The 16,064-nt window shown below is 42.6% G+C and overlaps 1 protein-coding gene across 5 annotated transcripts in view; it reads right to left on the bottom strand.

Moving 5' to 3' along the window:
* Nucleotides 1–3,185: 3,185 nt before the first annotated feature.
* Nucleotides 3,186–16,064, bottom strand: part of SUDS3 (SIN3A corepressor complex component SDS3) — a 41,479-nt gene continuing 28,600 nt past the window's right edge. For all 5 annotated transcript variants that reach the window (NM_022491.3, XM_017019817.2, XM_047429356.1 and 2 more), the window contains 2 exons: nucleotides 10,062–10,146; nucleotides 3,186–6,884 (listed from right to left, as the gene is read on the bottom strand). In NM_022491.3, the coding sequence (NP_071936.2) occupies nucleotides 6,786–6,884; nucleotides 10,062–10,146 (184 nt within the window). In that variant the 3' untranslated portion in view covers nucleotides 3,186–6,785. The remainder of the gene's footprint in view (nucleotides 6,885–10,061; nucleotides 10,147–16,064) is intronic.

Below are 16,064 nucleotides of genomic sequence, written 5' to 3'. Positions count from 1 at the left end.
TTCTCACCCCTGCACCTGGGGCAGTCCCCACCCATTTGTAGGAGGTGATGCTGAGCATGGTCTCTAAAGCCAGCAGCTTTACCTTCGTGGTCTGCTGTTAGCTGAAGTAGCTTTCCTGAAATGGTTCTGATCGCTTAGGATCTAGTAGTCAGACTAGCATCCAAAGAGAGAAGTATACAAATGGCCACAGCATCTGTAATGGTAGGGACAGTCTCCACAGACTGGCAGTAACCATGTCCAACCCTGTGTTATGTACTCCTCACAGTACAGCAGGGTGAATGAGGGCAGGGACTCTGGAGAGACTGCTTGGGCTCAGAATCCCGGCTTGCCATTTACTGGCTGTGTGACCTTGAGCAAGTTACTTAACCTCTCTGTTTCTCGATTTCCTCAATTACAAAACAAGGACTATAATTGTAGCTACCTCATAGGGTTGTTACGAGGATTCAGTGAGTTAACAGAATACTTAGCACAGTAGGTGCTATGTTTTAAATATGTTTTTAAATTGTATTCCTACCAGAAGGAAATTGGGGCTGTGTTAATATTATTAGAATCCTCAAAAACATATCTGAAGTAGATATGATTTAGCAAATGAGGAAACTGAGGTTCAAAGAAATTAAGTTGCCCAAGGTCACACCTAGCCAGCTTAACAGTAAAGCCAGATTCAAATCCTGATTCCAAAGCTTCTGTTCTTAGCCATAATGCCACCCTGCATCTCAGTAAACACTCAAACACTTATGAAAATAATTGGTGGTGAAATAAAGGGGGTTCCTGGTTACCTGCAGGGGCTTGCTAACCTGTACTGTACTCCTGCGTTGAGTATCTGCTTGCTCCGTACCGGTGTTGCTGACTCCCAGGACCTGGGGCATTGTTTTCCTGACTGGCTCTGGGAATGCCACCTACTGTACCCCCTGCCTGTCCACACCACTGGCAGAGAGAGGTGATGCCAACAGATCTGAGCATCAGCCTACGGAAAAACACAACACACCGCTAAGTCTCCGACTTCTGAAAAATATGAATCTTTAAGATTCGGGTTATTGGTCTTCTCGTATCAGTAAAGTGAATATTTTATAGATCTGTATCTTTCAGGGAATCGAGTAAACACAGATTAGAGAAAATGAGCAAAGGGATTAAGCATCTCGGTACCTATGCTGTCTCTTATCTACCTCTCTCCTCTAAGGATCCTCCTAAATCTACTTTTTTGTCTTAATAATCAGTTATTCACAAAAACATCTATTCTGGTAAACACCAAAGTTCCTAAAGCAAATGTATTCCTCACCATATTATGTTCAAAGGGAGTGAAATGATGTTTCTAGTTCATTCCATCTGGTGCTTTTTAAAAGCAGGAAAAGTGCTTAGCCTTCCCAAGGATGGGGCTTAGAGTTCCTCAAATGATAGTGCAAGAGGCCAGAAATTGGTTCTACTCCTGCCTCTGCCCAAAGACTGCACACTCCTGGTTTGGTTGATAAGCAGGTCGCCAATTAGAACTGAGCAGTTTCGGGGCAGGTGACATGGAGCTAAGGTATTTATTCTTCCATTACAGTGCCTCTACAGGAGGGCATGCCATGGAAAGGTCCAGTGACATCAGAGCATCAAGATGCTGAAGGCCCAACTCCATACCGACATTTTTAGAAACCAATTCAATGGCTCCAACTCCATAGATGATAAGGCAGGGAGGGAGGAAGTGATCTGAAAAAATACCGATACATGTTTTTGCCCAAAGGCTCTCTTGTAGCTTATTGGATAAAGCAGTTCTCATCACGACCAATGAGCTGTTTCCATTCCTTTTTAGGATGGTTATACTCATGCAGGATCAACAGAAAGCAAGCTCTTGGCTGGTCACCATGGCTCTCAACTATATTGCCAAGAGAGAAACCCAGAGTTATCAGGCAGGGGAAAGGGTCCTGCAAATAATAGTGTTTGTACTTCTAGCATTTTGCTCTGGGAGCATGTGTGTATAGGAGGTGAAAGCAGCTTATGTATTTTAACAAACAAACAAAACCTCCCAGGGAAATCCTGAAGAAAGGCAGAAATGTTGAACGTAATTTTAACAGATTAACATGGGGAAGGACTGCAAAGTGTAGTGGTTAGGGGAAACCTGGCTTGGAAACTTTAAATCCAGACTGTTATGTACTGTGTGACCTTGGAGAATCACCTCCTCTAATTCAAGGAGTCTGTTTCCTTCTTTAAAAACTGGTGAGATGCTTGCTTCATGGGTGACCAAAATAATAATTGAATACTGGTGACAGCAGCAGTGTACTCTCCTTAATTTATTATGAGGCTTAAATGAGGTAACACAAGGGAAGGGGCCAGCACCCAGAACATGCACTATTACTCACCAGTTTGCCTTGGCACATCATACCCTAATATCATTTGCTAACATTTACAGAGTATTTACGTATGAGGCACAGTGCTGAGCTCTGGGTTTCTAGAATTAAGTCAAGGCTTAGACTGAGCCAGCCTTAAATTTGGGAGTTAGTACTCTTTCAGAGATTGTGAAGATTAGTGAGAAAGTGCCTCCCATGAGGGGTTTAGTACAGTGCCTGGCATATATACAAAGTACTCAGGAAAAGGCAGACTATGACATCAAGGGCAAGCCCCACTTGCCTTGGGAACAATGGGGAGGGTGAGCAGGTTGACCTGAATCTGTTTTTCCCCTCCCCAATTAGTCATATCCTTTGCTGCTAGCTCTTTGCATTCCTGGTCAATCCCTAGCCTATACCAGGTACCTGGCTCTTCTAGAACAACCATGGAAGGAAGCAGCTCAAGAGCTTGAAGGTTAAGGTACTTAAAATAGAGAAAACTAGTTGGGAGGAGTAGCTGAAAGTCTAAGGGGCTTGTGGGTTCTGGGAATGTTATTTCTTGATCTGGATGCTATAATAGTTACATGGATGAATTCACTTTGAGAGATTTCAACAACTTCTACAATTAAAACTTGTGCACATTTCTGTCTAATTCAAACATTTTAAAAACAGAAACCACCCCTCTCCATCATCTAAAGCATAAAGCAGTCTTTCCCAAAGGGGTGCCATAACTGGGTCACAGGTCGGTCACCTGTGGCAGCACGCAGGCTTGTTGGCTGACCCCGGGAGCAGTACAAATACCATCACTGTTTGGTTAAGATTGGTAGGCACTATCTCAAAAGCCAGGAACAATATCCTCCTTAATCATGCACCAAATGAACAATATCCTCAATCACAAGTTTATTTCAAGATTGTTTTTCCACCCAAGATCCATTCTATTCACTTGATTTTTAATGACTTTTATCTGCAACAAGAAGAGTGCACAAACATTTAAGGGTCAACACCCCAGATTGCTCTTTACAAAACTGAGTATTAGCCTGACATCATTCTGTATCTTAGTCTTCACTAAGAATTAAATGTCTAGAATATCCCTTCCTCTGCCCTAACTTCCTTTCCCCATAAGCAATGGATCAAAAACCTAAAATAAATTTCTATCACTTATCAAGTCAATGGATACAATACAGACTTCATGCTGGTTTTCTCTTTGAAAGTTTATTGTTTTCTTTAAAAAAAAAAAAAAACCTATACCTTTTATATTTTACATTCACCTCTCAGAATATTTAATGGTACCCGTTAACGATGTTATAAAAAAAGACCATCACCTGCTTGAAATGGCTGCAAATTTACCATGTTCTGGCATTAAAGTGATTTCAACTCTTTGGACAAATTGGTGTAACAGTAAGCACCGAGATTTCAAATTCCCAGATGAGAAAAAAAAAATTAATCAGGAGGAAATTTATTTAGTAAAAATTCAAAGCTAAAGAAATGTGAGAAGGAAGCCAAACCCAAAAAACTGTAAAAAATACAATCTTCTCTCCAGAATTAGGTTAAAAAATACAGTCAACCCCATTCTAAACCCCATATTTCTTAGAAAAGTCACCCAGTCCTGAACACAGGGTCTTATACACAAATACATGTAGCTTGATTTGCAGATCAGCCTCTGGGATCGACCTTACACTGGCCCCAATTAGAAGTTCAAAAACAAAAATTAAGTTAGGTAGTCAGACATCTATAAATACTAGTATCCGCATGAATGAAAACACCCTGGCTTTGGTATGGCTACAGAAATCCATCTGGAAATTATTCAAAAGGACGTGGTTCAGGGAAAAGGGGGTAGGCAGGGCATGGGGGGAGGGGAACACACAAAACCCCCAAGCAGAGGTAAAATGAATATTGGAACACACCCGCAGCAAACACTGTACATAGACTTGAGGCAGATGCCTCTAACACAACACATATACAGGTTCTTGATCAAAATGGTCTGGACCAACCTTTTTCAAAGTAATCACCTGCAGGAAAGAGTTTAAACTTGGAAATTCATCTGGTGCCCTGGGGTCTAGTGAGAAACAATGACCTTTTGGAATAATGGCCACCCAGGCTAGAAGCTAGCCTCCTTCTCGTCTAGAAACTTCAAAGTCTGTCTTCCCCTTTAGTAAGGCTTCTGCCCACCACAGAAGTACCCCCATCTACTAACAGGAAGGCTGCTTCTGTTCCTGGTCACCACTGAGGCCTGTCAGGCTTCAACTGCTGATTTTTCACCTCTGGGGTGACAAAAGAAAATATTAAGTCCTCTGGGATTAGAAATGTAATTTACTATGCTGATTCTCAAAATGGACTTCTCACCTGCCCCCATTTTCACTAGGCCCAATTAAGAGTTGTGAGGACGCCGAGGAGAAGGCAATGGCGGAGTCGAGACTATGACTAAGGGCGCCCTCAATACCCTCAAAAGTCAGAGAGGAGAGAAGGCAAAAGTGCCCATACCCTGGTCTTCAAATAAATAGTTGCTTCACAAAAGCAGAGGTCCCACAGAGAAGGCCAGAAAAAGAGGCAATTTGTTCCTGCTTCAATGCGGAACCCCAGTGGTTATCAATACAATCCTCAACTATAAAAACAAACTTTGGTATACTGTTTAGGAGGACAAAACACATGATCATTGAAAAACTCCACCTTCAATGGAAAAATACATGAAATATATCTAATTTCCATCGCAGGGCACTACATGAAAACCAACAGCTGCACAATATGTGATGTGACACACACATCGTATGTGTAACAGTTCAAGCGAGGGAAGTCCTGCCTCACAGTCAAGGCTAACAAACAAGAACAGGTGAAGCCTGTGTTTACCATGGGCTGGGTTCACTGTAGTAAACATCATAGCAGTCGGGGATTGGAGGGCAGAGAAGAAATACAGAACCCCAGGCAACTTTTGATAACAGCGTCATTTATCCTGTTTTCTAAATAAGACTCCAACACCAGAAAAAAAAAAAAAAAAGAGGAAAAAACGGATTGTAAGTTAAAACAAAAATCTATCTGTATAAGTCTTTACTTGTACAAGTCTGTACAAGTCAGTAAGGTTTGGTCTCTGCAGAGCCAGAACTTCAGAGAAGGTGATTTAATTGTCATCACAGTCCCCCCAACTTGCTTGGGGGTATGTACATCAAGAGACAACATGAAGAGAATCACTTGAGACCAAAAGAATTACTTACAAAGAAAGATTTCCTAGGATGTGTAAGTTCTACTGATTGCTCATAGAGACGCTAACAGTTGCTCTAACCCCAAATTTTTTGAACATCTCAAGATGGCAACATGAGTATAGAAAACCCCAACACTCATCACCCAATGAATCATTTCTCCAATCATGGGAGTGAGGGAAGGATGTAGGAAAGGCTGTTTCATCAGGACTCATTAGGGAGGGTGTCAGTCCAGAGGCAGCCACAGCAGAGCTTTCCTTGTCTTCAACCTGGGCCAAATGAAGCTGTGAGCGCTCAGGGCCTGACAACAAAGTTCTCCACAGGTTTGGAATGGCCAATGTGCAATAATGGCATCAGCCACAAGAGTGAAACTTGAATCGTGCATGAGGGTCTATAGATCACTGATTATTGCACTATCAATCTCACCTCCCACCCGTAAAAGATTACCCAGATAATCAGCCTGTGGCACATACTTACTACTACCTACTTGGGAACAAGGGAGAGGAAGGAATTACAAATGAAAACTTCTGAAATGACCACTGCTTATTCCAGCTTAAGCTAGAACAAATGTTTGAATAAATCACCTGCATTAAATAACATTTAAAATATGGTACCTTCAGCACATTATAAATATGAAATGTCCCCTCCCCCAACCCCATTTACTTCAGTGCACATAGTCTTCCAGGCAAGCTTTTCCATCGCTCAGCGAGCGGAATGGATGGTGTGCACAGATGTTACACAAAGCATTTATTTCTCTGAGAAGGCCGAGAGCCACGAGAATTCATCATCTCCTGCTAGGACCTCTGCCCCAAGCTTCTGGGCAAATAGTGAATTGGACGCGACAGGGAAAGTAGCTACGTGATCCACTAATCAGATTCAAAACATGAAAATGCACTGGAGAGTGTATCCCTTCCTGCTCTTCTCCATGGTAGAGAGACTTAAAGATAATCAATAAAAATAGCTGTCCCTTCAAACTCAGAGGAGGTTTTCAAAAACAAGTATAAGCAAAAAATAAAGAAATAAAAGGAAAGTAAATCAAACCCCCCAATACGCCTGAAAGTAAAACAGTCTCATGGTGACTGATGTCTGGAAGAAGTTGAGGCAGAAAAGACTGACAAAGTTGGAAGCATCCGGCCACAAAAGTGCCCTAAAGAATTCACTGCAGTGCTCTCCATTTCCAAGGCTGAGTAGCTATTCCCAGTAAGTTAACATTTTTCTATTAAGGAGAAAACGAAACAAAACAAAAATAAAACCCACTCCAGAAAAAGGGTCAAGAGAAGAGCACTGTAGAAAGTCAAGCAGCTGAGCGCCGGCGGATCACGAAGAGCCCGCGCTGAAGCTGGCCCAGGTAGATCCTCATCTTGGTGCTGTCACTTGTCTTCCTCACCCAGATCTGCAGGGGAGAGGAAAGGGAACAAGATGAAAAGTTAAATACAGAAGAGCAAATCTCCTACACCATCAAAATATCTGCACGAGTGAGATGCAAGCAGAAGGCTGGTAGCCTCTTGCTGGAATAAACTGTCTCAACTTGTGAGGGCTTCATAAGCACCCCTGACCTCGGGCCATCTAAAGGCATGCCGCTGGGAACAGGCATCAGCCTTGAACTCGTTTCTCAGCCATCTCTCTCACACCTGTGATTACGAAAATGGAAAGCACAGCAATCTTGGGTTCCATTTCTGCCTTGATCTTAAAGATGCTTTTAAATTTGGTTTGATTACTGTGTTATCAACACTCAAGAGACATCTATTCATAAACACAAACTTTCAAATTTGGAAGTATTTTCCTTGCTCCAAGGGACTTCCATATTATACAAACTTTCAATACTTTGGTTTCCTGGCAATGAAGGCTAATGGTTGTGCAGAAAAACAGGGAAAAAATATCAACAATAGAAAAATGCCCACTAATGAGCTAAGGCCCAATTAGGATCATGAGAAGGTTGAAGCACTTCCGAGAGTCCTTCCCTCCTCACCATATCCCCCTCTCACAGACAGTATTAGATTACAGTGCATTTTACAGGGCAGATGCATTCTTCCATTGAATTGAGAATGAACTCTTGCAACAGGGGACTGCCAGGGCTGACAAAGTGCACTCAATAAGGGGCATCCTAAAGCCATGGGTGAGAAGGGGAGCTGCTGCCAGTCACCTGACCCCCTGAGCCAGGGTTACTGAGCTCTGTGTGCCAGACACCATGCTGATCAGGCTGAGCTTTTTCACCCGCAAGACAACCCTATGAAATAACTACTATCATTGGCCCCATTTTAAAGAAGAGGAAACCAAAGCTCAGCAAGGCTGAGTCACTTATCACGACGTGAATTCTGGTGTCTGACATCAAAGCCCCTGGCTCTTCTCTACTAAAGCAGTCTCTGGCTTCTTCTTGCCTGTTTTTCTGTAACATGCAATTAAATAGAGCCAAAAGCACAGTTTTTTGAAAGGTCTGCATCTCACCCAAATATACAAGTTTACAGATTTATCTCCTCCTTCCTGGACTCAGTTTTCAGGTTTTAAAAAAGCTTATTCTGTTTCATCTCAATTTCTTTAATGTGATTATTCAGCAGTATCTCTACTGCTTTAAAGTCAAATACACTGGCTTAAAAATTTAAAAAGTTAAAGACCTCACATGAAGCTAAGCCTCCAAGGGACCTTGCAGAATCATTTTAAATGAAAAACTGATCCCAAGAAAAGCTAAGTCAGGGAGTCATCCACACACTCAGAGCTACCCACCAAACCTGCTTGGAGTCAAGCTATGCTAAAGCCAAGTAGCTCCAGTGTCACCTAGAATTTGATCTGAAAAATGAGCTGGAACACTTTCAAGAAATGAGAACGGTTTCCCCATTGCCAGAGTTGCATGTCTTCAGTGCACTGAAGCTTCTCCCCTCCAGAAGACGTGTTTCAGTGTCACCATTTGTCAGATCTCACTGACACTCTATTATGTCAAGACGCGACAATATTCGGCAGAGAGAGGGGAAAAACAATCTAACTTGCATTTATATTTTTCTGAAAAATCTTGAGGTATCATAGAGGAGAATAATGCACTGGTTCTGAAGTTAGGGTCAGGTACTAGAAGGCCACATGTGCTTGTGGAACAACCCAGACAGCCAGGTGCAAATGATTACCATGAAATCGTGACACCTCTTGGCTGAGGACCAGGTCTCTCTATTAGCTTCCCTGTTCTGGTTCTGACTTGGCTTGAGGGGACTCACACGGATCCTCAGCCCAGAGAAGAATGGCATTCATTTATCTAGAAGGCTCTCCCTAACTTCTAAGTAAACAATCATTTTGCAAACTAGTCACATTTCAGGGCATTTTCAATTCAGGAAGCTGGAAGAATAGAAGAGGCTTAAGTTACTTCATAATCCAGTTTCATTACATTTACTGTGCACTGGCACGAATAAGTTACAGAGGGCAGACACATAGAAATCAATTTCTTTGCAGACATTTGTGGACTGATAAAAGATCAAGCCAATCCAGCTATTAAAGTTTTTAACTTTAACTAACAACATAAGTTACACATTGCTTATATACTCCTCATGAAAGACCACTTGGAGAACTCAGAGGGCAGTCATATCATCCTCAGGTATAACCCTCTGAGCTGACTTTAAAACCAGACCCCATCCATCCTAAAGGAGTGTCTCGAGGAGACCAAAAACCAAGGGCATAACCCTGGCAACTTGTTTTGAAGCACAATAGGACATCTCAGCTAGGAAAGACGGCAGGCAAGTGGCGTGTGGGTCGTTTCAGGCCAGCACTCACTTAGTGAGCACTTACTGGGTGCTAGACCCTGTGCCAGGTGCCTCATTCAATCCTCACAGCAAGAAACAAATCTACTGGTATGTGTGAAAGTTCTAGAGAAACAAAACCAAGATGGAGTATGCTCCACAGTCAAGCTCCATTCTCAGTAGATGGTTACCTTAAAAAGAAGCAGGAGTTGGCCAGGTGTGGTGGCTCACGCCTGTAATCCCAGCACTTTGGGAGGCCGAGCTGGGTAGACCACGGGGTCAGGAGTTCAAGACCAGCCTGACCAACGTGGTGAAACCCCATCTCTACTTAAAAAAAAATACAAAAATTAGCCGGGCGTGGTGGTGGGTGCCTGTAATCCCAGCTACTCAGGAGGCTGAGGCAGGAGAATCACTTGAACCTGGGAGGTGGAAGTTGCAGTGAGCCAAGATAGCACAACTGTACTCCAGCCTGGGCAACAGAGTGAGACTCTGTCTCAAAAAAAATAAAAATAAAAAAAAAGAAGCAGGAGTTGAATGTACAGACACCACACAGACTTGCTTTTTGTTCTTTCCTGGAATCTAGCTCCGTGGTTCCCAAATCAGTAGCTGTACCGGGAGTTCACAAATACCCCATGGAATAGACAAATCCGCATATGTTGTAGTCAAGCGAATGTAAGGACTTTTCAAGGATGATTTTGACAATGTGCAATTTCTGCCTGACTTTAGAATCTAACCCACATAGAAGACAGTACTCCACTGTACTTCCTTGGTGGCACTTTCATTTCAGGTTTGCCCTACCAACACTTCGCAGTACACATTTTGCTTCCCTAAAGGTGAGGGAGTGTGGTTCCCACCTCATTGGCTCCTACAGAACTGATCACGCAGCTCAGTTTCTGGTTGTCCTTTGACTCCAGATAGATGGCCTGGCTCTTGTGGTACCTGACAAAAACAAGGCACACATTTTTAAAAAGGGAGGGACAGAGACAGGAAGTAAAAACCAAACAAAACAAAAACACCATCACAACAAAAATTATAATTAAAGAAGTCTTAATAATTCACATTTGAGGAATAGCCTGGATTTCCCATTTAGCTTAATTTAAAGGCTTCCATCCTGAGGCCAGGCGCGGTGGCTCAAGCCTGTAATCCCAGCACTTTGGGAGGCCGAGGCAGGCGGATCACAAGGTCAGGAGATCAAGACCATCCTGGCTAACACGGTAAAACCCCGTCTCTACTAAAAATACAAAAAAAGTAGCCGGGCATGGTGGCAGGTGCCTATAGTCCCAGCTACTTGGGAGGCTGAGGCAGGAGAATGGTGTGAACCCGGGAGGCGGAGCTTGCAGTGAGCCGAGATGGCGCCACTGCACTCCAGCCTGGGCGACAGAGCAAGACTCCATCTCAAAAAATAAATAAATAAATAAATAAATAAATAAAATAAATAAATAAATAAATAAATAAAGGCTTCCATCCTTAGGTTAGAAGACCACCTAATCTTCTTTGGGATCTAAAGCTTATATTCCTTGGTCCCTCTACAGAAGGGAAAAGGCTGAGGAAAGTGTTGGAAAACTATGTATTTTTCCCTTTTTTTGGACTATATGACCCAGTTCAAAAAGTAAATTAAAAATTGTTAAATAAAAACTCTGTTTCCCCTTTCTGACCCCACACCAGAACACTGAAGAAGGTTGGACAGACAAAATATACAGGCATAAGCCACCGTTATTTATTTTCTATTTGTCCAAGTCAGTCACCAACAAGAAGGAAGGCTGACTTTAACCCTTTAGTCAGTCATTCAAAAATACTCATTAAGCACTTACTGTGTACCACGGACTATGCTGGAGGCTGGGGACAAACAGTGAGAAAGGCCACAAGTTCTCCACTATCACAGAGATTCAAATACACTGGGGATAAGGAACATTAAATAACCACACCTGGTAACAGCTAATCAGGCAAAGTTCCAAGTGCCATGACGTATACCAAAGGGTATCTAATTTGGCCTGGACAGTTGGGAAAGCTGCTTTGAATACAGTAGATAAGACAGACACTCCCCTTTCAACTCCTGCATCTACTCTCAACCTGTAGTGTAGGGCCACTTCTTATTTCTACAAGTTCAGAGACAAGGCCAAGGATGAAAGTGAAGTTGCTGGGGGCCAAAGCCCAAATGGGACAAAAGCAGCTGCCACAGGATGAAGGAGCCCCTGCTGGATTACAAGAGTTGGAAGTATCAGCGGAGCTGCAGCTAGCAACCCTGGCCTGGGCCAGCCCCACGTCGATTAATAACATAAACTTTGGTTCATTTTGGCTGCAAAGATCTGGCTAACCAGACCCATAAACTCGTGTAAATTTAGTAAAACACATCTCCCAGCAAAGCATGATGGCTTATTCTGTTTTGCTGGTATAAGGAAATAACCTATTGCCAAGACATGGCAAGTAAAGGATGCACTTCACTCCCATAATGAGCTTTTTCCAGTCTAGGGTCTCAATTCTCTTTAACCTGCTACTTATGAACTGAAAACTCAGGTTTCCAAGTCAATGTACTTTCTGAAAATACTGTTAAAAGAAACAGAATTTTAGGCCGGGCGTGGTGGCTCACGCCTGTAATCCCAGCACTTTGGGAGGCCAAGGTGGGCAGATCACAAGGTCAGGAGATCGAGACCAGCCTGGCCAACATGGTGAAACCCCATCTCTACTAAAAACACAAAAATTAGCCGGGAGTGGTGGCAGGCTCCTGTAATCCCAGCTACTCGGGAGGCTGAGGCAGGAGAATTGCTTGACCCCGGAGGCGGAGCTTGCAGCAAGCCAAGATCATGCCACTGCACTCCAGCCTGAGCAACAGAGCGAGACTCTATCTTAAAAAAAAAAAAAAAAGAATTTTAAATTCAATTAGAACAGCGAGAATGGTTTAAATGCAAGTTTTAAAGTTGCTTTTGGCCCTTTATTAGTTGGTAAACTGGCAGGGGACCTTCATTATGCTAAATATGTATTATCACAAGGGCCGAACTGTACAATGCATAAGAAAAGGCTAAGTTCATACTAACACTAACACTTCCCCTTGTTTCTCTCTCACATCTGAGCCAGCTCTCCTATGTAAACAGTCATGTCTTGAGTAATGGTTAAAATAAAAATACAGAGGGAGAATACTCACAGTTGTTCTAAAGGGACTGTAAGTTATTAAAGAGATAAAGACACAAAACAAAATGCAACTACCCTCAAGTCATTCTGATACAACTTTCTAAACACTTTAATAAAGAAAGGTCATGGATGTGGTGTAGAATATTACGAGTGTGGAAACATGCTCCATATACTGGTAGGTAAAAAAAAAAAAACCAAAAAAAACTATGTCAACTATGTTCCTGTGTTTATGATAAAACATACACATGTTACAGCTGGGTGCAGTGGCTCACGCCTGTAATCCCAGCACTGCGGGAGGCCGAGGTGGGTGGATCACTTGAGGTCAGGAGTTCAAGACCAGCCCGACCAACATGGTGAAACCCCCATCTCTACTAAAATTACAAAAATTAGCCAGCATGGTGGTGTGCGCTTGTAATCCCAGGTACTCGGGAGGCTGAAGCACAAGAATTGCTTGAACCCAGGAGGCAGGGACTGCAGTGGGCTGAGATCATGCCACTGCACTCCAGCCTGGCTGGAAGAACGAGACTCTGTCTCAAAAAAAAAAAAAAAACTGGCCAGGTATGGTGGCTCATGCTTGTAATCCTAGCACTTTGGGAGGCCAAGGTGGGTGGATTGCCTGAGCTCAGGGGTTCGAGACCAGCCTGGGCAACAAGGTGAAACCCCGTCTCTACTAAAATACAAAAAATTGGCCAGGCGTAGTGGCTTACGCCTGTAATCCCAGCACTTTGGGAGGCCGAGGCGGGTATATCACGAGGTCAGGAGATAGAGGCCATCCTGGCGAACATGGTGAAACCCCGTCTGTACTAAAAATACAAAAATTAGCTGGGCGTGGTGGCGGGTGCCTGTAGTCCCAGCTACTTGGGAGGCTGAGGGAGAGAACAGCTTGAACTCGGGAGGCGGAGGTTGCAGTGAGCTGAGATGGCGCCACTGCACTCCAGCCTGGGTGACAGTGCGAGACTCTGTCTCAAAAAATATAAATAAATAAATAAAATACAAAAAATTAGCCAGGCATATTGGCGTGTGCCTGTAGTCCCAGCTACTCAGGAGGCTGAGGTAGGAGAATCGCTTGAACCTGGGAGGCGGAGTCTGCAGTGAGCCAAGATTGCGCCACTGCACTCCAGCCTGGGCGACAGAGCGAGACTCTGTCTCAAAAAAAAAAAAAAAACCAAAAATAACACATATACATGTTACATGTGTATCCATGTATCATATCCTCACAAAGGTCTTTTAAAGAAAACAGCTGACTCTGGAAGGCTATTCCAACAATTCTCATGAGATGCATTGTATTTTCCTTCAGTGGTACTTAGAACCCAAACCCAAGAAATTCAACTGACTTAAAAGCGAACACCCAGAGTAAACAATGCAAGCTGGTCTATTACCTCTGGGAAGTGGTCTGGAACTTGGGAATGTGGCCACCTCCCAGATCCGCCTCCTTTGGAATCACTGAATGGTGGTGGCCTGAATGTCCACCATTGGTCCCTATTTGCTCCAAAGTAGAGGTGGCCAACATGCTTCCCAAAGCAGCCAACTTCCAAACCAACTGATCACCAGGTCCCTCCTGAACCGCAGTCTCTGAGACCTTCAAGGGATCCTCATGCACTACACGATGTCTTGGGGGAACCATTATCCCTAGATACCAAATCTATTAAATTATTTGAATTCTCTGAAAAGATAAGTCCTTAGATATTAAAGTGTTCAGGGCTCATACCTGTAATCCCAGCACTTTGGGAGGCTGAGGCAGGAGGATCACTTCAGCTCAGGAGTTTGAGGACAGCCTGGGCAACATAGCAAGACCTCATCTCTACTAAAAATCAAAAAAACATTAGCCAGGCATGGTAATGGAGGACTGTAGTCCCAGCTACTCGGGAGGCCAAAGTGGGAAGATCGCTTGAGCCAGGGGGATCAAGGCTCCAGTGAGCTATGATCACACCACTGCATGCCAGCCTGGGGGACAGTGAGACCCTGTCTCAAAAAAATAAAAAATGAAGTGTTCATATGGGGGGGCGGGGGCGGTTAAAGATGAAACCAAGAAGTATGTGACAACCTTAACATAAGAATTTACTTTTTAATTTCTAAAGAAAAATCAAAGGGGGGGGAAGAAATTTAAAAATATGTTTAGATATAAAATGTGCTACGAAGCAACATCAACAGGGTAGTAAAAATGTGCGTTTTTTTTTTAGGCCAATTAACCTGTTTTACAAGCTGCAACTCAGCTGCTGAAAAAAGATATTTAAATAGCCTCAAAGACTAAGCCCCAAATGTCAAACTGACTCTATTACTTTGTAACTAATGGAAATTCTGACCTGGGAATCTCTACAATTAAGTTCTTAAAGCTTTGAACCTCTACTATTAAACCGAACAAAACTAGAAATTACCACTACTGTACTATTTTCGAAAAGCAATTTCTTAAGAAGGTGGACACAAAAGTGGGGCGAGGAGGTAGGAAAATTAATTTAATTTTGTATCCTACTGAGAATCCTGGTATTAACACTTTATTTCCCCAATAAGTGAGTCCACGTTATAGCTACAGAACCTCAAGGAGTCCCAATTCTACTGGTAAATATTCACTGTTTTAAGTCTTTTGTGTCGACCGAAGGCTGAAGGGGAAAATGCTCTTGAGCAAGTGGGTGGCTTCGTTTCTGACTCACAGGCAGCCCCAGATTTAAAACAAGGAGAGAAAAACAGAAGTCCACCCGTACCATCAATTAGTTATTTTCAAATATCAGCTACTTTTTCACAGTATTTTTTGAGAGATCATTAGTCCAAATCAAAATGTGAGGCAAATTTACATAGCATGATATAGAATGCCTTAAAAGCAGTATAAGACCAAGGCAAAGGGAAGATCCTTATCTTTCAAAATGAAAGGGAGCTTGGCAAGTATTCACACCAAGATGCGATGCCTGAATCCCATTTGTTTTGCTGAAGTCATTTAAAACTCAGGAAGACATCTTCTGCCAAAAATACGGCTGCACCAAAATACTCCATACCCTCTGGAAAGAGCATAAAGCAATGTAGCTGACCTCTCAGCCACAGGCCACGTCTGCCAAAGAAAGAAAAACAAAACCTCCAAACTGATACAAAAGCCAAACATGAGCCTGGTGAGATGGGAGAGGCTGGCACTGCACCAGTGAACACCTCAGCCAGTATTCCCAGGAACACTTTTCAATTGTCATTGGGGAAGAGGGAGACCCACCTTCAACAACTGCATTATGATCTCTGACTGCCAAGGCCAAAAATGAAAAGTATACAGAATAGAGAAAAAAAACAACATTCTCAAAGTATATTTAACAAGAGAATAAGCAATTTCAATTTCACTGAAAAAGTAAAATGCATCCAGTGACATTATTTTCTAAATTTCTGCTGTTAATGTAAGAAAGATGGTGAAAATTCCTTCAAAATGCTTAGGAGTTCTAACACATCAAATCTGATCATTTTGTTTACATTAGGAAACACCAGACATTGTGGATCTCTTCTTTAAAAAAACAAGAATTTTATTTTACTGCATTTTCACCCTCAAGACATGTCTCGTAAAGTCTGAGGATTAAGCTTAGAAAGAGGAAGATTCAAAGCAACACAATTACAAAATGAACATCACTGGAAATATCACATGGCTTTAAGACTCATAGATTTGTAAAAATGTTAGTGATAAATCTCATCATTTTCAAAGATGGTTCTTATGTGTGGGCTTGATCTTTAAAGGTTATTTGGTTTTCATTATTAGAAACATTTTT

The sequence above is a fragment of the Homo sapiens genome, chromosome 12 (genome assembly GCF_000001405.40).
Source record: "Homo sapiens chromosome 12, GRCh38.p14 Primary Assembly".
NCBI classification, from domain to species: domain Eukaryota; kingdom Metazoa; phylum Chordata; class Mammalia; order Primates; family Hominidae; genus Homo; species Homo sapiens.
Note: the sequence above shows the minus strand (reverse complement) of the source record. Positions and strands in the feature narration are given on the sequence as shown.